This window comes from Homo sapiens, chromosome 4 (assembly GCF_000001405.40).
Source record: "Homo sapiens chromosome 4, GRCh38.p14 Primary Assembly".
NCBI classification, from domain to species: Eukaryota; Metazoa; Chordata; class Mammalia; order Primates; family Hominidae; genus Homo; species Homo sapiens.
The window spans coordinates 105,728,320-105,749,686 of NC_000004.12; the positions used below are offsets into that span (position 1 = coordinate 105,728,320).

Sequence of the window (21,367 nt, forward strand, 5' to 3'; positions counted from 1 at the left end):
GTGTTTTTTAAAAAGACCCTAAAGTAAGAATGAGTTTAGTGAAATGAGAAATAGCAAGAAGGTCAGTGTGGCTAGACTGAAGAAGATAGAAGAGAGGTAGATGATGTCAGAGAGATGTGTTTGTCTTTCTGGAGGCAAATCAGTGCTCTGGGCTTGTAGATCAATAGCCATATCTCTAGCCCTAATGAAAGATTATTTGTACTATTTCCTTCGGGACACAAATTCAGCTAGTTTTTATAATGGAAAGTAATCTCATAAACTGATACAAAGCATTCGATGCTAGAGTCTCACAGATTTTTATTTGAATAGGTTATTCCTAAAGATAAAAATAACAGAGCCATGGAGATATCTAGATATAGATATATAGATATAGATATAGATATAGATATAGATATAGACTGTGTACCTGGAATGTGATTGGAAGGGGTCTGTGAATCCATGTGTATGCCATGCCACTGTACGTAGATCAAATAAACAAATGTACAGCTTCTAAGATGGAGAAGGATCCTGAAAATGTTTTAATATATTGAAAAGTGGTCCTAATTCTTGAAAATATTGGGAACCATTTGGTTACACCAGAGGAATTTTTCTCTAGTGACATTAAAGGCACTTATAAAAGACTAGTATGAGTGGTATTTTGGGGTATGTGTTAAAGTGGTAGCTTTTAGGCTGTGGCGATTTTCATATATGTAAAGGGAGACTTTGATGGACATATGCAGAGTTCTTTTTTTATTATTTCTATGTGGATTGTTTTTGATAACATTTTCATCCTCAGCTGAACTTTCTCTTTGATATCCAATATATTTCTAGGTAGCTTATTGCTTCTATGGATTTTCTAGTAATAATTTTAAAATAGCATTACTTTTTATTATCACAATATTAAAAAATAGGAAAGTAATTGTGATGTCAAAATACTCAACACATGGTATTTTTATTTAATTAAAATATGTATTTTGGGGAATAGCTGATGATTATTACTATTTATCCTCCTCCTTACCAATATACAAATATAATTTTTTAGCCTTCAATAATATAATAAGACTATATTAATTCCTTAATTTAGAAAGAGGCTATTTCCTTTTCTAGGAAAAGGGCATTGAAGTGATGTTTTCTCCCCACCCTTGCCCTACTTGGACTCTTGATTGGAATGTTCTCCCTGCAGCAGTCAGCCCAAAGGAAGGTGAGTTTTCTTTTTTCTTTAAGTTTTATTCATACTTTGGATACTGTCTTCAGATATGTCTTCTAATTCTCTAAATCTCCCTTTGGCTTTATCTAATATTCTGATTATACTATCAGTTGAGTTTTCATTTTATTTTTCTTATGAAAATTATATATACACACACCACTTAGATTTAATATTTCTCACATTTTTCTACATTTGTTTTATTTGTTACTGTTTTTTCTTTGCTGACATATTTTGATTTTTGTTTTGTTTTAATTTTACTTTAAGTTCTAAGGTACATGAGCACAACGTGCAGGTTTGTTACATATGTATACATGTGCCATGTTGGTGTGCTGCACCCATTAACTCATCATTTACATTAGGTATATCTCCTAATGCTATCCCTCCCCACTCCCCCTACCCCACAACAGGCCCCGGTGTGTGATGTTCCCCTTCCTGTGTCCAAGTGTTCTCATTGTTCACTTCTCACCTATGAGTGAGAACATGCGGTGTTTGCTTTTTCTCCTTGCGATACTTTACTGAGGATGATGGTTTCCAGCTTCACCCATGTCCCTACAAAGGACATGAACTCATCCTTTTTTATGGCTGCATAGTATTCCATGGTGTATATGTGCCACATATTCTTAATCCAGTCTAACATTGATGGACATTTGGGTTGGTTCCAAGTCTTTGCTATTGTGAATAGTGCCGCAATGAACATACATGTGCTTGTGTCTTTATAGCAGCATGATTTATAATCCTTTGGGTATATACCCAGTAATGGGATGGCTGGGTCAAATGGTATTTCTAGTTCTAGCTCCTTGAGGAATCACCACACTGTCTTCCACAATGGTTAAACTAGTTTACAGTCCCACCAACAGTGTAAAAGTGTTCCTATTTCTCCACATTGTATCCAGCACCTGTTGTTTCTTGACTTTTTAATGATCACCATTCTAACTGGTGTGAGATGGTATCTCATTGTGGTTTTGATTTGCATTTCTCTGATGGCCAGTGATGATGAACATTTTTTCATGTGTCTTTGGCTGCATAAATGTCTTCTTTTGAGAAGTGTCTGTTCATATCCTTCGCCCACTTTTTGATGGGCTTGTTTGTTTTTTTCTTGTAAATTTGTTTGAGTTCATTGTAGATTCTGGATATTAGCCCTTTGTCAGATGAGTAGATGGCAAAAAATTTCTCCCATTCTGTAGGTTGCCTGTTCACTCTGATGGTAGTTTCTTTTGCTGTGCAGAAGATCTTTAGTTTAATTAGATCCCTTTTGTCAATTTTGGCTTTTGTTCCCATTGCTTTTGGTGTGTTAGACATGAAGTCCTTGCCCATGCCTATGTCCTGAATGGTATTGCCTAGGTTTTCTTCTAGGGTTTTTATGGTTTTAGGTCTAAGATTTAAGTCTTCAATCCATCTTGAATAATTTTTGTATGGGGTGTAAGGAAGGGATCGAGTTTCAGCTTTCTACATATGGCTTGCCAGTTTTCCCAGCATCATTTATTAAATGGGGAATTTCTTGTTTTTGTCAGGTTTGTCAAAGATCAGATGGTTGTAGATGTGTGGTATTATTTCTGAGGGCTCTGTTCTGTTCCATTGGTCTATATCTCTGTTTTGGTACCAGTACCATGCTGTTTTGGTTACTGTAGCCTTGTAGTATAGTTTGAAGTCAGGTAGTGTGATGTCTCCAGCTTTGTTCTTTTGGCTTAGGATTGTCTTGGCAATGCGGGCTCTTTTTTGGTTCCATATGAACTTTAAAGTAGTTTTTTCCAATTTTGTGAAGAAAGTCATTGGTAGCTTGATGAGGATGACATTGAATCTATAAATTACCTTGGGCAGTATGGCCATTTTCACAATATTGATTCTTCCTATCCATGAGCATGGAATGTTCTTCCATTTGTTTGTGTCCTCTTTTATTTCATTGAGCAGGAGTTTGTAGTTCTCCTTGAAGAGGTCCTTCACATCCCTTGTAAGTTGGATTCCTAGGTATTTTATTCTCTTTGAAACAATTGTGAATGGGAGTTCACTCATAATTTGGCTCTCTGTCTGTTATTGGTGTATAAGAATGCTTGTGATTTTTGCACATTGATTTTGTATCCTGTGACTTTGCTGAAGTTGCTTATCAGCTTAAAGAGATTTTGGCCAGAGACAATGGGGTTTTCTAAATACACAATCATGTCATCTGCAAACAGGGACAATTTCTTTCTCCTGCCTGATTGCCCTGGCCAGAACTTCCAACACTATGTTGAATAGGAGTGATGAGAGAGGGCATCCCTGTCTTGTGCCAGTTTTCAAAGGGAATGCTTCCAGTTTTTGCCCATTCAGTATGATATTGGCTGTGGGTTTGTCATAAATAGCTCTTATTATTTTGAGAAACATCCCATCAATACCTAATTTATTGAGAGTTTTTAGCATGAAGGGCTGTTGAATTTTGCCAAAGGCCTTTTCTGCATCTATTGAGATAATCATGTGGTTTTTGTCTTTGGTTCTGTTTATATGCTGGATTACGTTTATTGATTTGCATATGTTGAACCAGCCTTGCATCCCAGGGATTAAGCCTACTTGATCATGGTGGATAAGCTCTTTGATGTGCTGCTGGATTCGGGTTGCCAGTATTTTATTGAGGATTTTTGCATCAATGTTCATCAGGGATATTGGTCTAAAATTCTTTTTTTGTTGTGTTTCTGCCAGGCTTTGGTATCAGGATGATGCTGGCCTCATAAAATGAGTTAGGGAGGATTCCCTCTTTTGCTATTGATTGGAATAGTTTCAGAAGGAATGGTACCAGCTCCTCCTTGTACCTCTGGTAGAATTCGGCTGTGAATCCGTCTGGTCCTGGACTTTTTTTGGTTGGTAGGCTATTAATTATTGCCTCAATTTCAGAGCCTGTTATTGGTCTATTCAGGGATTCAACATCTTCCTGGTTTAATCTTTGGAGGGTGTATGTGTCCAGTAATTTGTCCATTTCTTCTAGATTTTCTAGTTTATTTGCATAGAGGTGTTTATAGTATTCTCTGATGGTAATTTGTATTTCTTGGGATCGGTGGTGATATCACCTTTATCATTTTTTATTGCATCTAGTTGATTCTTCTCTCTTGTCTTCTTTATTAGTCTTGCCAGCAGTCTATCAATTTTGTTGATCTTTTCAAAAAACCAGCTCCTGGATTCATTGATTTTTTGAAGGGTTTTTTGTGTCTCTATCTCCTTCAGTTCTGCTCTGATCTCAGTTATTTCTTGCCTTCTGCTAGCTTTTGAATGTGTTTGCTCTTGCTTCTCTAGTTCTTTTAATTGTGATGTTAGGATGTCAATTTTAGATCTTTCCTGCTTTCTCCTGTGGGCATTTAGTGGTATAAATTTCCCTCTACACACTGCTTTAAATGTGTCCCAGAGATTCTGTTATGTTGTGTCTTTGTTCTTATTGGTTTCAAAGAACATCTTTATTCTGCCTTCATTTCGTTATGTACCCAGTAGTCATTCAGGAGCAGGTTGTTCAGTTTCCATGTAGTTGAGCGGTTTTGAATGAGTTTCTTAATGCTGAGTTCTAGTTTGATTGCACTGTGGTCTGAGACAGTTTGTTATAATTTCTGTTCTTTTACATTTGCTGAGGAGTGCTTTACTTCCAACTATGTGGTCAATTTTGGAATAAGTGTGGTGTGGTGCTGAGAAAAATGTATATTCTGTTGATTTGGGATGGAGAGTTCTGTAGATGTGTATTTGGTTTGCTTGGTGTGGAGCTGAGTTCAATTCCTGGCTATCCTTGTGAACTTTCTCTCTCGTTGATCTGTCTAATGTTGACAGTGGGGTGTTAAAATCTCCCATTATTATTGTGTGGGAGTCTAAGTCTCTTTGTAGGTCTCTAAGGACTTGCTTTATGAATCTGGGTGTTCCTGTATTGGGTGCATATATATTTAGGATAGTTAGCTCTTCTTGTTGAATTGATCCATTTACCATTATGTAATGGCCTTCTTAGTTCTTTTGATCTTTGTTGGTTTAAAGTCTGTTTTAACAGAGACTAGGATTGCAAACCCTGCCTTCTATTGTTTTCTGTTTGCTTGGTAGATCTTCCTCCATCCCTTTATTTTGAGCCTATGTGTGTCTCTGCACGTCAGATGGCTCTCCTGAATAGAGCACACTGATGGGTGTTGACTCTTTATCCAATTTGCCAGTCTGTGTCTTTTAATTGGAGTATTTAGCCCATTTACGTTAAGGTTAATATTGTTATGTGTGAATTTGATCCTGTCATTATGATGTTAGCTGGTTATTTTGCTCGTTAGTTGATGCAGTTTCTTCCTAGCCTGGATGTTCTTTACAATTTGGCATGTTTTTGCAGTGGCTGGTAGCGGTTTTTCCTTTCCATGTTTAGTGCTTCCTTCAGGAGCTCTTTTAGGGCAGGCCTGGTGGTGACAAAATCTCTCAGCATTTGCTTGTCTGTAACGGATTTTATTTCTCCTTCACTTATGAAGCTTAGTTTGGCTGGATATGAAATTCTGGGTTGAAAATTCTTTTCTTTAAGAATGTTGAATATTGGCCCCCACTCTCTTCTGGCTTGTAGGATTTCTGCTGAGAGATCAGCTGTTAGTCTGATGGGCTTCCTTTTGTGGGTACCCCGACCTTTCTCTCTGGCTGCCCTTAACATTTTTTCCTTCATTTCAACTTTGGTGAATCTGACAATTATGTGTCTTGGAGTTGCTCTTCTCGAGGAACATCTTTGTGGCATTCTCCGTATTTCCTGAATTTGAATGTTGGCCTGCCTTGCTAGGTTGGGGAAGTTCTCCTGGATAATATCCTGCAGCGTGTTTTCCAACTTGGTTCCATTCTCCCCGTCACTTTCAGGTAAACCAATCAGCCATGGATTTGGTCTTTTCACATAGTCCCATATTTCTTGGAGGCTTTGTTCATTTCTTTTTACTCTTTTTTCTCTAAACTTCTCTTCTTGCTTCATTTCATTCATTTGATCTTCAGTCACTGATTCCCTTTCTTCCATTTTATCGAATCAGCTACTGAAGCTTGTGCATTCATCATGTAGTTCTCTTGCCATGGTTTTCAGCTCCATCAGGTCATTTAAGGACTTCTCTACTCTGGTTATTCTAGTTAGCCATTCGTCTAATCTTTTTGCAACGTTTTTAGCTTCTTTGCAATGGGTTCCTCCTTTAGCTCAGAGAAGTTTGATTGTCTGAAGCCTTCTTCTTTCAACTCGTCAAAGTCATTCTCTGTCCATCTTTGTTCTATTGCTGGGTAGGAGCTGCATTCCTTTGGAGGGGGAGAGGTGCTCTGATTTTTAGAATTTTCAGCTTTTCTGCTCTGTTTTTTCCCCACCTTTGTGGTTTTATCTCCCTTTGGTCTTTGATGATGGTGACGTACAGATGGGGTTTTGGTGTGGATGTCCTGTCTGTTTGTTAGTTTTCCTTCTAACAGTCAGGACCCTCAGCTGCAGATCTGTTGGAGTTTGCTGGAGGTCCACTCCAGATCCTGTTTGCCTGGGTATCAGCAGTGTAGGCTGCAGAACAGCGAATATTGTTGAACAGCAAATGTTGCTGCCTGATCATTCCTCTGGAAGCTTCGTCTCAGAGGGGTACCCGGCCGTGTTAGGTGTCATTCTGCCCCTACTGGGGAGTGCCTCCCAGTTAGGCTACTCGGGGGGTCAGGGACCCACTTGAGGAGGCAATCTGTCAGTTCTCAGATCTCAAACTCTCTGCTGGGAGAACCACTACTCTCTTCAAAGCTGTACAGGGACATTTAAGTCTGCAGAGGTTTCTGCAGAGGGTTCCGCTGTGCCCTGCCCCCAGAGTTGGAGACTACAGAGGCAGGCAGGCCTCCTTGAGCTGCAGTGGGCTCCACCCAGTTCAAGCTTCCAGGCCGCTTTGTTTACCTACTCAAGCCTCAGCAATGGCGGGCACCCCTTCCCCAGCCTCGCTGCTGCCTTGCAGTTCTATCTCAGACTGCTGTGCTAGCAATGAGCAAGGCTCCGTTGGCGTGGGACCATCTGAGCCAGGCACGGGATATAATCTCCTGGTGTGCCGTTTGCTAAGACCATTGGAAAAGCACTGTATTAGGGTGGGAGTGACCCAATTTTCCGGGTGCTGTGTGTCACCGCTTCCCTTGGCTAGGAAAGGGAATTCCCTGACCCCTTGCACTTCCTGGGTGAGGCGATGCCTCACCCTGCTTTGGCTCACACTCAATGGGCAGCACCCACTGTCCTGCCCCCACTGTCCGACAAGCCCCAGTGAGATGAACCCGGTACATCAGTTGGAAATGCAGAAATCACTCCGTGTGATTTCTTCTGCGTCACTCATGCTGGGAGCTGTAGACTGAAGCTGTTCCTATTCGGCCATCTTGGAACTGCCCCTGACATATTTTGAAAAAAAAAATTCCAGGTAACATGTCATACTTTAGGACTCATATTTTAAAAATATCGATATCTTAAATAATCACAATGCCATTATCATACCTAATAAAAATTAACAAACTTTAATGATCTTCTAATGCCCAATTTATAATCCATTTTCTCCGATTGTTTAAAATGTTGTTTGAGAAATATTGTTTTATTGTTTGGTTTTAAGCTAAATGATTATATTTTTCTTTGCTGGAAATAATTATTGGTTTGTTTTTGTTTCTTTATAATTTTTTAAACATAGTTATTTTATATTTTATATTTTGTGTTTCTAATAGTTAATAGTTATTTTATATTTTGTACTTGTTATTTCTAATACTTAATGTTCATAGAGGTATAATCCTGCTGTTTGTTTTGTCTGTTGACTTTATTTCTGGTACCTTATTTTCCTGTGAGTTTTGTAATTTTAGACTGTGAATTCATTTGGGGTTACCTCAATCTGTGGTAATCTTGTGGGGCTTGGATTAAGGGTAAATTCCTACAGAAAGGGATTATATTTGCTTATACCTACTAGGACTTAAGACCACTTAGCATTGGTTTTTCAGCTTCAGATTTCTTTAAAAAATGTTTAAATTTAATTATATTTGTTATTTTTTCATTGACACATAGTAATTGTGCATATTTTTGGGGAACAGTATGATATTTTGATACATGTATGCAATGCATAATGATCAAGTTAGTGTAATTAGCATATTCATCATCTCAAACATTTATCATTCCTTTGTGTTAGGAACAGTCAAAATCTGCTCTTCCAGCTGTTTGAACTGTTATTAATTATAATCACCAAACAGTGCTGTAGAACCCAGGAACATATTTTTCTTATCTAGCTGTAATTTTATATCCATTAACCAACTTCTGGCTATACACCCTTTCCAGTCCCTAGTAACTACTATTCTACTCTCTAATTCTATGAGACCAACTTTTTTTACCTTCCATTTGGAAGTGAGAACATGTGATATTTGTCTTTCTGTGCCTGGTTTATTTTATTTAACATAATTTCCTCCAAGCTCATCCATGTTGCTGTGAATGACAAGATTTATTTCATTTTTATGGCTGGATAGTTGGATAGTACTCCATCATATATATGTACCACATTTTCTTTATCTCTTCTTCTGTTGATGGACACTTAGGTTGATTCCATATCTTGCCTATTGTGAATAGTGCTGCAATAAACATGTAAGGGCAGATATCTCTTCACTATACTGATTTCTTTTCTTTTGGATATATATCCAGCAAGGGAATTGCTAGATCCTATAGTAGTTCTAATTTCATTTTTGAGAAAACTCCATACTGTGTTTCATAATGGCTGTACTAGTTTACATTCCTACCAACAGTATATAAGTTTCCCTTTCTTTGCATCCTCACCATGTTATTTTTTGACTTTTTAATAATAGACGTTCTAACTGGGATGAGAAGATATTGTGCATTTGATTTGCATTTTCCTGATGACTACTTATTTATTTTTGCTGTTTAGTTGTTTGAATTCCCTGTGTATTCAGGATATTAATCTTTTGTTGGATGAATAGTTTGCAAATATTTTTTCTCTTTCTGCTGGTTGTGTCTTCACTTTGTTGATTGTTTCCTTTGCTGTATAGGTTTTTAGTTCAATATAATTCTATTTGTCTGTTTTTGCTTTTGTTGTCTATGCTTTTTACGGTCTTATTCATAAAAACTTGCCCAGTCCAATGTCTAGAAGCATTCTCCTTATATTTTCTTCTAGTAGTTTTATAGTTTTGGGTCTTACATTTAAGTCTTTAGTCCATTTTGAGTGGATTTTGGTGTATGATGAAAGATAAGGTCTACATATGGATATCCAGTTTTTCTAGTACCATTTATTGAAGAGACTGTCCTTTCCCCAGTGAATGTCCTTGACACTTCTGTAAAAACATGAGTTGGCTATAAATGAGTGGAGATACGCTTTGGATATTTGTCCTCTGTAAATCTCAAGTTGAAATTTGAACCCAAATGTTGAAAGTGGGATCTCAAGGCAGGTGTTTGGTTCATGGAGGCAGATTCCTTATGATTGGCTTTGTGACATCCTCATGGTAATGTGTGAGTTCTCACTCTTAGTTCCCATGAGAACCAGTTGTTGAAAAAAGCCTGGTACCTCCTCTACTCTCTCTCTCTTGCTCCCCCTTGCTATGTGATGCCTGCTCCCTTTTGCCTTCTGCCATGAGTGGAAGCTTCCTAAGACCCTTACCAGAAGCAGATGCTGACCTTATGCTTCTTGTACAGCCTGCAGAATTGTGAACCAAATAAACCTCTTTTCTTTATAAATTACCCAGCCCCAGATATTCCTTTATAGCAATATACAAATGGTCAAAGACAAGTGGATTCATTTCTGGGTTCTCTTTTCTGTTCCTTGGTCTATGTGTCTGTTTTTAATACCAGTGCCACACTATTTTGGTTATTATAACTTTGCAGTATATTTGAAAATAGGTTGTATGAGGCCTTCAGCTTTGTTCCTTTTGCTCAGGATTGCTTTGGCTGTTCAGACTCTTCTGTGGTTATACATGAATTTTAGGATTTTTTTTCTATTTTTGTGAGGATTGTCATTAGTATTTTTGTAGAGATTACACTGAATCTATAGATCACTTTTGGTACTATGATTGTTTTTAACATATTCTTCTAAAGCATGAACATGGATATATTTATTTTTTTGTGTGTCCTCTTCAATTTCTTTTATCAGTGTTTTATAGTTTTTCTCTAAAAGTCTTTCACTTCTTTAGTTAAATTCATTTTTTTTTCTTGTTTGTCTTGTTTGTTGTTCCTGTATATTGATGCTACAGAATTTTGCATGTTGATTTTGTATCCTGCAGTTTGGCTGAAATTGTTTATCAGTTCTAAGAGTTTCTTGATAGAGCTCTTTGGTAGGTTTTTCTATATGTAAGATTGTGTCATCTGCAAATAGGGACAATTTGACTTCTTCCTTGCCAATTTGGATGCCCTTTATTTCTCTTGCCTAATTGCTCTGGCTAGGACTTAGTAGGATTCAGTAAGGTGAATAGGAGTGGTGAGAATGGGCATCCTTGTCTTGTTCCAATTCTTAGAGGAAAAGCTTTCAGTTTTCCCCATTCAGTATGATGTTAGCTATGGGTTTGACATAAGACCTTTATTATGTTGAGGTATGTTCCTTTTATACCCAGTTTGTTGAGAATTTTTATCACAAAGGATGTTGAATTTTATCAACTGCATTTTGTGTATCTATTGAGATAATCACATAAGTTTTGTCCCTCATTCTGTTGATATAATGTATCTGATTTATTGATTTGCATATGTTGAATTATCCTTATATTCCTGGGATAAATTCCACTTGATCATGGTAATGAGTGTTGTAATGTGCTGTTGGATTTTCTGTTTGCTAGTATTTTGTTGAGGATTTTTGCATCACTCTTTATCAGGGATATTGGCCTATAGTTTTCTTTTTCTGTTGTATAAGTTTTTTTGTTGTTGCTGTATTCTTGTCTAGTTTTTGTATCATGGTAGTGCTAGCCTCATAGATGAGTTTTGAAGAATTCCCTCCTCTTCAATTTTCTGGAAGAGTTTGAGAAGAACTGGTATTAGATCTTCTTTGAATGTTTGGTATAATTCAGCTGTGAAGCCATCAGGTCCTAAGCTTTTCTTTGATGGGAGACTTTTTATTACTAATTCCATCTTGTTACTCATAATTGGTCTATTTCTAGGAGGTAGGACACTGCTTCAATAGGCACTGGGAAGACATGACTGCAGTTGGTGGCCAATGTACTGTTTTTCGAAGAGACTGTGTACCTTTTCAGCTCAGACACAGAGGGGTATGACTGCTTTTGTTGGTCAAAGCCCCATTTACCTGGGATGTCTTGTGTTGCTTCAGTTCTGGTCCAGAGAGGCATGGTGTAGCAAAGACTGGGAGAGGTTTTTATAACAGCTTTTTCAGGGCATCATTTTCCTTAGAGGCAGTGTGCAGCTTCGGCTCAGTCCCCTAGGAGCAGGTGCAACCATGACTGAGGGATGGAACGGTTCTGCCAGAACACCGTTTCTCCAGGAATGAGTGTGTAGCTTCAGCTCTAGCTGTGAGTGGGGGCTAGGAGGAGTGCATGAAACAGCTCCACTACTGCTTGAGCCCACAGGAAATGGTACAAGAGGTGGTCACAGGTAGGCTTGGGGATGTCAGGGCATTGGACAGGGGTGGTTTGGCAGCAGCTTAGCCTCAGAAATGAAGGGATATTGTGGGTACTCACCTCCAAGCAACACTCCAACATTAGTTCCAGTTTGCAGATGGCATTGTGCAGTAGCCACGTAGGCCCCAGGGTGCAAGACATAGTGTCAGCTCCTTCTCTGTGGGATGACAGCTATGCGGACTACAGGCAGCTCCCTCAGCTGGGCTTAAGTACACCGATCAACACTTTGAACAACTATAGTCCTCACTCCAGTAGGACTCACTACTGGAGTGAGGACTATAGTTTTGCTTGCCTTTTGCTAGCCTTTCCCCACGGGGAGAGTTCCTCCTAATTCCCATCTGATCCCTGCTGGGGAATGGGCGGGTGGAGACCAGGTGTTTCCTTCAGTTCTCTGTACGGCTATCCTGAATTCCTGTGTTCACCTGAGTTTCTGTTACTTCTTTGATGTACTCCAGCGCTCTCCTTTAGTCATTTTCATTATGATGTAGTTATTTATTAGTTGTTTAGGCTGTTTTTGTGGTGGGGGCGTGGGATGCTTGGGCATATGGAGTGCTAGGGGCTTCTTAAGCACAGATTCTTTAAACGTTTTTTCATCTAAAACTGAGACTTAAACAGACAAGTTACCTTTTATCATCTTCCTTTGTTGTTGGGTAGAACTTTTTTCATGCGTCTTTTCAGAGGGAATATAGCTTTTGAAGGTTTCTGCTTTCAGGTAGTGATTTTTGTTCCAACTCTCCAACATGCTGGGATGAAGGACTGGCCTCTTTTTGTCCTACTGTTAAAGTCTGGGTCCCTATTATTAGCAAATACCCTCAGGGCAGCCATAGTGTCAGTTCAAGACTATTACACAAATTTTCAGCAATCCCCCCAACTTTTTACCCCCTCACATTCTTAAGGCCCTATAAATTTTCCTTATTCTGAGAAACCCGCCTAGACATGTAAAGGATGCTTGTTTAATTTTAAATACCATTTTAGGTGTTTTTTAGATAGAGAATTCTTTATAATAGCTCAATTTCTTCACTTATTCACTTATTCTTAAGTTTTATATTTAGCCATATATAATTCTTAATTTTTAATCCTCTTTGAAGTAGTTGCCTTCCCTTTTCATATTCTTTTTTTCTGTGATGCTACCTAATATTGCCTGTATCTCACGGGTCATTTCTATTCTGTTAATCAAGGAAATAATTTAGAATTCTCTCAGTATGGAAGAAGATCATGTTGGAGAATTAAGATTTCTGCCCCAAAGATATTTTATAAAAATAAAATTGAATTTTTGGTGTTTTATTAATTGTATACAAAGATAGTAAAGAATTTGTTAGTGTTTTAATTTTACATATTTTCTGACACTTCAAAAATTTAAATGTTTTTATGGTACTTACAATTGAATTTTGGCTGTATACACTTAAGTTGTAATATAGATTTTGAAGAAGCTAAACTTAGAATTTACTAAATTTAAAAATCCAATTTTCATTAATATTTATGTTTATCAAGAAATGAAAACAGAGTTTTCTAAATGCCACATGTTTTGCTTTATCCATAATTCATCGACTTGGAGACAAAATAATATTTTCACTTATTAGTATGAGCAATCAATTACATCAGCTACCAACTGAAGGAGATCTCACATTAAACATTCATGGCTGGTCGTTTTTCTGGTTAGAAGTTCATATCTAACAGAGTTCATGGAATATATTACTCATTACATCCCTATAATTGGATCATCTTGTTTTCATAATATTATGACAAAGAAGCAACTCTAACAGCAGGGCTACAGGGTATACTCACATTACATTCACTGTTTCTTAAAAGGTTTATAGTCTGTTAAAGTAAGGCAGAATTGTGGCATTTTAAGTTTGTTGTTTTCAGTTCTGGTAATTTCAAACATTGCATGATAATAAGATCTTTGTGAAATAAAATTATGTAGGGGTATGGAGGATCACTGTGAAAACATTCTCAAGATTCATGTTTCTGTACTGTCAGGAGAAATCTCTAATACAATCTGTATTAAGATTTTATTGGTACTTGGTTCATTTGGATGTCTCAACGACTGACTCTTTATGCTGAATTCATTTAATTACATCAAGATTTTGGTGCATATTATAATAACCATTCTTTTTACTAATAAAGGCTGTATTAATCCTCATGATATAAGCTATTTTTTAGGCCTATCCAATCTGCCATCCTCTGCTCTTACCCATTTCTCTCCCCACATCTTATCTACCATTCCTTGAACTTTTTACTGTTTTTCTTTTATACAACCTATATTTACTATTTACATGTCTTTCCTTTTTTCTTCCAGCCTTGAATATTCTTCTTCCCACTCCCCTTGCTAGTTGAAATTATACTTGTCTTTTAAGGATCAATTCAAACGCTGCTTCCTTCATTAAGTCTTCTCTATGGAGTCAACCTGCCTGAAATTTAGTTAGCTACCTAGCTAGATAACCCATGGCCAGATACTCAACTTCTCCGTGCCTTGGTTGCATCATCTGCGGAATGGAGATCATAGTGTATACCTTATGGAATTGTTGGTACAGTCGGTGCATTAATATGGAAAGCAATTAGCACAGTGCCTAGGAAACTGCAAATGTTAAATATTTGCTCATATGGAAGTGAGAATTAATTACTGCCTCTTGATATCCTATTAGTACTTTCTCTTTTTTTGTTGTTGTTTTTACTTTTTTTTTTTTTTTTTATTTCTTAGAGACATGGTCTCACTCTGTCACCCAGGCTGAAGTGCAGTGGCTCAATCATAGCTCATTGCAGCCTCTAACTATTGAGTGCAAGCAATCCTCCCACCTTATCTTCCCAATTAGCTAGGACTACAGGTGCATGCCATCATACCTGGCTAATTTTTTAGTTTTGTGTAGAGACGGAGGTCACACTGTGTTGCCTAGGCTGGACCTTTTGTAATTTCTCTCTCTTTTTTTTTTTTTTTGAGACAGAGTCTTGCTCTGTTGCCCAGGCTAGAGTGCAGTGCCGCGATCTCAGCTCACTGCAAGCGCCGCCTCCCGGTTTGACGCCATTCTCCTGCCTCAGCCTCCCGAGTAGCTGGGACTACAGGCGCCCGCCACCACGCCTGGCTAATTTTTTTGTATTTTTAGTAGAGACGGGGTTTCACCATGTTAGCCAGGATGGTCTCGATCTCCTGACCTCATGATCTGCCCCCCTTGGCCTCCCAAAGTACTGGGATTACAGGCATGACCCACCGCACCCAGCCTGTAATTTCTTATACTTTGTATTTTGTACTTGTATTATGCTTCTGATACGCTATAATTATTTATGTACATGTTTTTTTTCTTCAATAGACTGTGAACTCTTCGAATGTAGGACTCCTAGAGCTAGATACTCAATTATTTTTTATTAAACTGAATGACTTGAAACTACAGATCCTTTATTTAAACTTCCCAAATTTCTGCTTTATCTAGGCAACTCTTTAAATTCTTTTATCTCATGTAGATTTCAAAGGCTGAAATAATTGAGATTTTTTAGTTTGAAGAAAAGAGAACTGAGGATTTAATGTACATTATTATTATATTTTTAATGGACTGTTTGGGAGTAAGTTGCAGACATTGTTCACTTTCACTCCTAAATACTTAAATATTTCCTAAAAACAGGACATTCTTTTTTTTTTTTTTTTTTTTTTTTTTATGGAGTCTGGCTCTGTCGTCCAGGCTGGAGTGCGGTGGCACGATCTTGGCTTACTGCAAGCTCCCCCTCCCAGATTCACGCTGTTCTCCTGCCTCAGCCTCTCGAGTAGCTGGGACTACAGGCGCCCGCCACCACGCCCGGCTAATTTTTTTTGTATTTTTAGTAGAGATGGGGTTTCACCGTGCTAGCCAGGATGGTCTCAATCTCCTGACCTCGTGATCGCCCGCCTTGGCCTCCCAAAGTGTTGGGATTACAGGCGTGAGCCACCATGCCTCGCCAAAACAGGACATTCTTTTACATCGTTATAGTATAGTTATCAAACAGGATATTTAATTTAGTACACATTATTATGTAACCTATAGTCTGGCAGATTTTGGCACATTTAGTTGCATTAAGGTGAAACAGTTTACAGCCTTTGTCTTTCATAACATGGTCATTTTTGGAATAGTTCAGGCCATATTTTTATAGAATGTCTCTCAATTTGGATTTGTCTGATGTTCCCTCATGAGTAGATTCCAGTTATGCATTTTGGGCAGGAATATCACAGATGCGATGTTTTATCCTTTTCAGTGCAGCCTATCAGGAGGCACATTATGTCAGATTGCACACAGTGCTATTTGGTTAAGCTTTATTGAATTAATAAGTAATTTGTAGAGAGATACTTTCAGACTGTGTAATACCTTGTTTCTTTTCAACCTTGCACTCACTAGTTTATATTCATTGGATGCTTCTTGCCTATGATAGTTACAAAATGGTGATTTTCAAGTCTGTCATCCTTCTATATTTATTAGTTGCCACTCTTCTGTAAGAAAGTTTTTTCTTCTCTTTTTATTTCTTTATTTACCATCAGTATCAACTCATAAATTTTTATTTTATTAAGTGACTTATAATTCAACACTATTATTGTTAGTTTTAATGCTCAAGTTATCCCAGGTTGTGAGTGGCAACCTGACTTTTGACCCCTTGGAAATGCCCCCAACCATTCTATGGCAACTTCCTTCATTTCTGGCATAACAACATATTACAGGCTTATCTTATCATTTACCTGCCCCAGCCCTAGAGTCAGCTGTTTCTCTAAGGAGTCCTGACTCCCTTTACTAGAGAAGAGCATTTAGAAATTAAGATTAGAGCAGTAAGTATGCTCATTGTTAATGAACTGTTACAGCTTCTAGGTCATCTCAGTAGGGACCTGTATGTATAGATCTATTAGGAAATAGATGTATGCATGCATTCATGTACACATACAAACACATATACAACTATACACATCAATATCTACTGATACATCTATATCTTTTATCCATCTATCTATATATATGTATACTAAAAATCATGAGTTTATACAGATACATCTAATTCAAATCTAACAATACAGGATTCTTCCTGCTTTTTCCAAATTCAGTATCTGTTTCTGCCTTTTCCAACAGTAAAAATAATAGCCTTTAACATCATTATTGCATTTGCTCATTTTGTCAGTCTCTCAATATATGGATAGTACTTTCAGAATTACTATACCCACATTTGTGTGAAAAATATACCTACTGAGTTGAATTCCAGATGGTTTACCTTTATTTTCATCTTTGAAGTGAGGATGTATAGTCAAAGTTCTCATGCAGATACTTGTGCTATTCTGTACAAAATGAATTCTATGAAGAATGAAAGGTTTTAGTTAGTATTAATCATGTTACGTAACAAAAAGATTTGGCTATGACCATCAATACTCAGTAGTAGGATAGTCTTCTACTTCACTGAGAACATCCAGGCAATTGCATACTCTTTTACTATTTGGCCTCAAATACCCATGTGATTTCCTTCTCTGTGTGATGAACAAGGTTAACTAGTGTTTGAGCCTGAGGACTCCTTTTGTTAAGTCCAGAGTCACCCTCTGTTTTTGCCTTGTGAATTTTTGTCCTCTGAGTATAAAAGAGGGTTATGTTCTTTTGCCTTAAGACCTAGAACAAAGCTGGCCTAAGCCACTTAATCCATGCATTATTTCACTGTGGCCCTCTCTGTTCTCCAGTAGTTCTTAGGTAGGTGGTTCCTATAGTAGAGGTTGCTACTAGCACATAATAACTATATAAATCATGTAGGAGGGAAGATAGTCAGAAGCATGACCTTACATAAGATAAAGAAGACAAAAAGATAGGTGCTTAGGTGTTGTTCCAGTTATAATCTCTTTTGTTCACATATTTGATGTCTTAGAAATATGGCCCCATTAAATGTACCTGAGAATTTAGTTTTGCTTTTAAGCTACATGAAAGTACCATCTTCTAGGGAGAGTGATATGGGGAGAGTGCATAAAAACCTTAAACATTACCACCCATTCACCCTCATCCCTTGCCACCTACTTTAGAGTACAATTGACCCTTGAATAACATGGGGGTTAGGGTCGCTGACTCCCCATGCAGTTGAAAATCTGCATATAACTTTTGACTCCCCAAAAACTTAATAGCCTACTGTTGACTGGAAGTCTCACCAATAACCTAAACAGTTGATTGACACATATTTTATATGTTATATGTATTATAATAAAGTAAGCTTGAGAAAAGGTGATAAAAATCATAAGGAAGAGAAAATATATTTACTATTTATTAGGTGGAAATGGCTCATCATCAAGGTGTACATTCTCATCATCTTCATTTTAGGTAAGTTAAGGATGAGGAGGAAGTGGAGGGGTTGGTCTTGCAGTCTTGGGGGTGGCAGAGCATTTCAAACCTGTGGGTCAAGTGTATATACTTCTCAGCTGCGATAAAAGGAAAAAATTTAATGCAAGAGTTTTATCAGAAGGAGATATTATAGTGTCTTCTTTCTAGAAGGCTTTAAAGCTAGCAGATGACATTGCTTGGGATAATAATTTATGAAATCTTAGAACAAGAATTATGAACTGGTATATTCTAACTCTTTGTGTAGATCACTGATTGAATTGATGTTTCTAGGAAGTATGAATTTTTTTAATTCTAGTGGCAGATTATCCTCTTAGTAGCAAGATATTCTTATCAACCTTTATGTGTAGTTATTATTGTTGACTAAAGTTTTAAATGTAAAGGCTTATCCTTATGAGGATCATTTATATAAATACTCTGGTTTTTTTCCCATTTATTTTCTGTAAAATATTTGGAGTTGAAAAGAATGAACTGACCCTTAACATTAGGAAAAAATATAAAACAAGGTAGTGATGTATAACTAATAAAAATTGGCTTCAATAAAAAGTCTGTGTGCTCTAGTCCCTACTTCTTTGTTGTATGTTTCTATAAACCAACAGCAGCACCCCTTCTTTCTTCTCCCAGCAGAAGTGATTTGGGGAAGCAAGGGAAGAGTGTGGTCAAGGTCTTTGGAAAGAGGCAGATACAAGGTGAAGAATGAAAGGGCTAAAGGCAGCCTTTTCCCCTATTATTGATTCTTAACTAGGTTCTTACCAACTCTTGAGTGTATGGTAAATATGTAGGCACATTATTTATTGCTATTCTTGCCAGAAGGCAAGGGATGCTAAAAGTTCACCAAACAAAGAATGGTCTGATCCACAATGTCAGTAATGCTCTCCTTTGCAGGGAATCCAAAACACAAAAGCTTTTTCTAAGGCCGGTAGGCAGGACATGCAGATGCTGCTTTGTCCTAAATCATTACTTTTCAAACTAGGATATCTATCAGAATCATTTGGAAGGCTTGTTAAATCAGATTGCAGGGCCCTACCCCACAGTTTCTCTTACAGGTCTGGGGTAGAGCCCTAGAATTGCATTTCTAAGAAATATCTCTGTGATACTGCTTCTGCTGCTTTGGAAACCACACCATGTGAAGTATTACCCTAGGGAACCAATATAATGCATGCACTGGCTACTTGATTTCACTCTTTGCCACCCAGATAACATGAACAGTATCAAACCTGTCCAAATATTTCTTTAAAACTTAATTCTTTTTCTGTTTTTAGCAAAGAGTAAGTCATATATAAGAGCTTGTGCATATCTCTGTGCCATTTGCTAACTATAAGAATGTCTATTTTAGACCAGTTATACTGACAAATATAAGTGGAAGTGAAAGTATCCTGATAATGTAAATAAAAATAATGGTCTCCTTTAAGAAAATTTTATTTTTTGTAAAATACTCATCTTGGGTTCTTATTATTTCTACTTTACCACACTAGATGAGACTCAAAACTAGCACGTTTGTTTTCTTAACTTTTAAAAAATTCTTCAGGTTGACAGTGTAAACAGTTTGTTGTTGTTGTTTATATTAAATAACTTTAGATTTTAAGGCTATTACATTTTGAACTTTTTGGCATTTAAAATACTAAAAGTGGCCAGGCATGGTGGCTCACTCATGTAATCCCAGCACTTTGGGAAGCTGAGGCGGGTGGATCACTTGAGGTCAGGAGTTCAAGACCAGCCTGTCCAATAAGGTAAAACCCCGTCTCAACCTAAAATACAAAAATTAGCTGTGCGTGGTGGTACGTGCCTGTAGTCCCAGCTACTTGAGAGGCTGAGGTGAAAGAATTGCTTGAACCTGGGAGGCGGAGGTTGGGGTGAGTCAAGATCATGCCACTGTATTCTAGCCTGGGCGACAGAGTGAGACTCCATCTCAAGAAAAAGAAAAAAAAATACTAAAAGTGTATCAATAGCATGAGATCAAAGAGGTGGGTTTTGTTCTGTTTTGTTTTGTTTTTTCACTTTCTGGGAAAAATTTTTCTAACTTAAATGTTTTTCATTTCTCTAAGTTATATTTAGCTTTGAAATTCAAAACCTGCCCATATTTGACTCAGAACGCTACCAATTTTTGAGTATTTTCTCTTCTATTAAGAGTGAAATTCTCAATACGCATTTTGTTGCTTTGTCAAAATGTTATTTAAAGTGTTTATTTAAACTTATTTTTAATCTGAAATTAAATGCCTCTAAACAATTCTATATATAAATATGGGCACAATTTATATTAAATGGTTTAAAATATAACAAGATTGCCAAGAACATGTTTGCTATTTGCTTAATAATACTCTTTGGATTTAGTGCCAAAATATTAGTGTATATCAGTATAGAAATTGAAATAGATATATATTACATACGATATGTATTATATATTGTATATATGAGTGATATATAGAGCAAAACATGTGTTAAATTTATTTCTTTTTCTGGGAGAAAGTTAGAGAAGTCAGCCAGAGTAATAGGAAAAATAATTTAAACTGGCAAAGAGATGGATAAAATTTTACTGGGCAAAATTGTCCATTATGACATTAAACATTCCTTATATTAACATGTTTTTTTAAAATAGAATACTAATTAATTATGCTTGGCAATCAAGAGGTGTTACTGTTGATAGGAATATTTTATAATAGGTTTTAATGAAAACCATAACTAATCTGGTGAGTTTTTAAAAATAAAAAAGTAATGTACCATATAATCTTTATTGGTGAGGAATGTAACAAGGAGGTAGAGAACTAGTAGAAAGGTATCTTTATTTTTCAGTGTTACCATCTTCTTATGAAATATTAAAAGGTTTAATTAGAAAAAAAGAAACGTAAAATGCACAATTTTATTATAATTGTATGATAATAATACACTTATTATTTAAATTTTAAAAGGTTTTTAAAAATTTCACGTGAAGTAACACATAAAATAATTTAATCAAATCCTCCTGAAATGTATCTGTAAGTACAACATAGTTTTTATCAAAATCTGAAGACTTTTTGTAGCTGTAGACAAGCTTATTCTAAATTTTATATGGAAAAAAAAATTTGAAAAAGAGCAACAGAATCACTCTAGTGAGTGTTAAGACTTACTATATAGCTATAGTAATTGGAGAGATAGACATACAGAACAATAAAACAGAATAATAAAACAATAAAACAGAATAGAGAAGCATAAAATGCATAAAAGCAACTCAATGGAAGAAGGATAGTCTTTTCAGCAACCATTGCTCTATCAATTGAACATCCATAGGCAAAAAAAAAAAAAAAATCTCTACCTAAATTGCACACTTATATTAAAGTTAACCCAAAATAGATCATGGAATTAAATA

General features: G+C 36.8%; 1 protein-coding gene across 8 annotated transcripts in view; it reads left to right on the plus strand.

The window, feature by feature from the left end:
• GSTCD (glutathione S-transferase C-terminal domain containing) overlaps positions 1-21,367 on the plus strand; it is a 138,942-nt gene that overhangs the window by 19,536 nt on the left and 98,039 nt on the right. For all 8 annotated transcript variants that reach the window (XR_938771.2, XM_011532252.4, XM_047416179.1 and 5 more), the window contains exon 5: positions 1,087-1,180. Coding sequence is in view for 7 of the 8 variants with exons in the window: in XM_011532252.4 (XP_011530554.1) it covers positions 1,087-1,180 (94 nt within the window). In the remaining variant the exon portion in view is untranslated. The remainder of the gene's footprint in view (positions 1-1,086; positions 1,181-21,367) is intronic.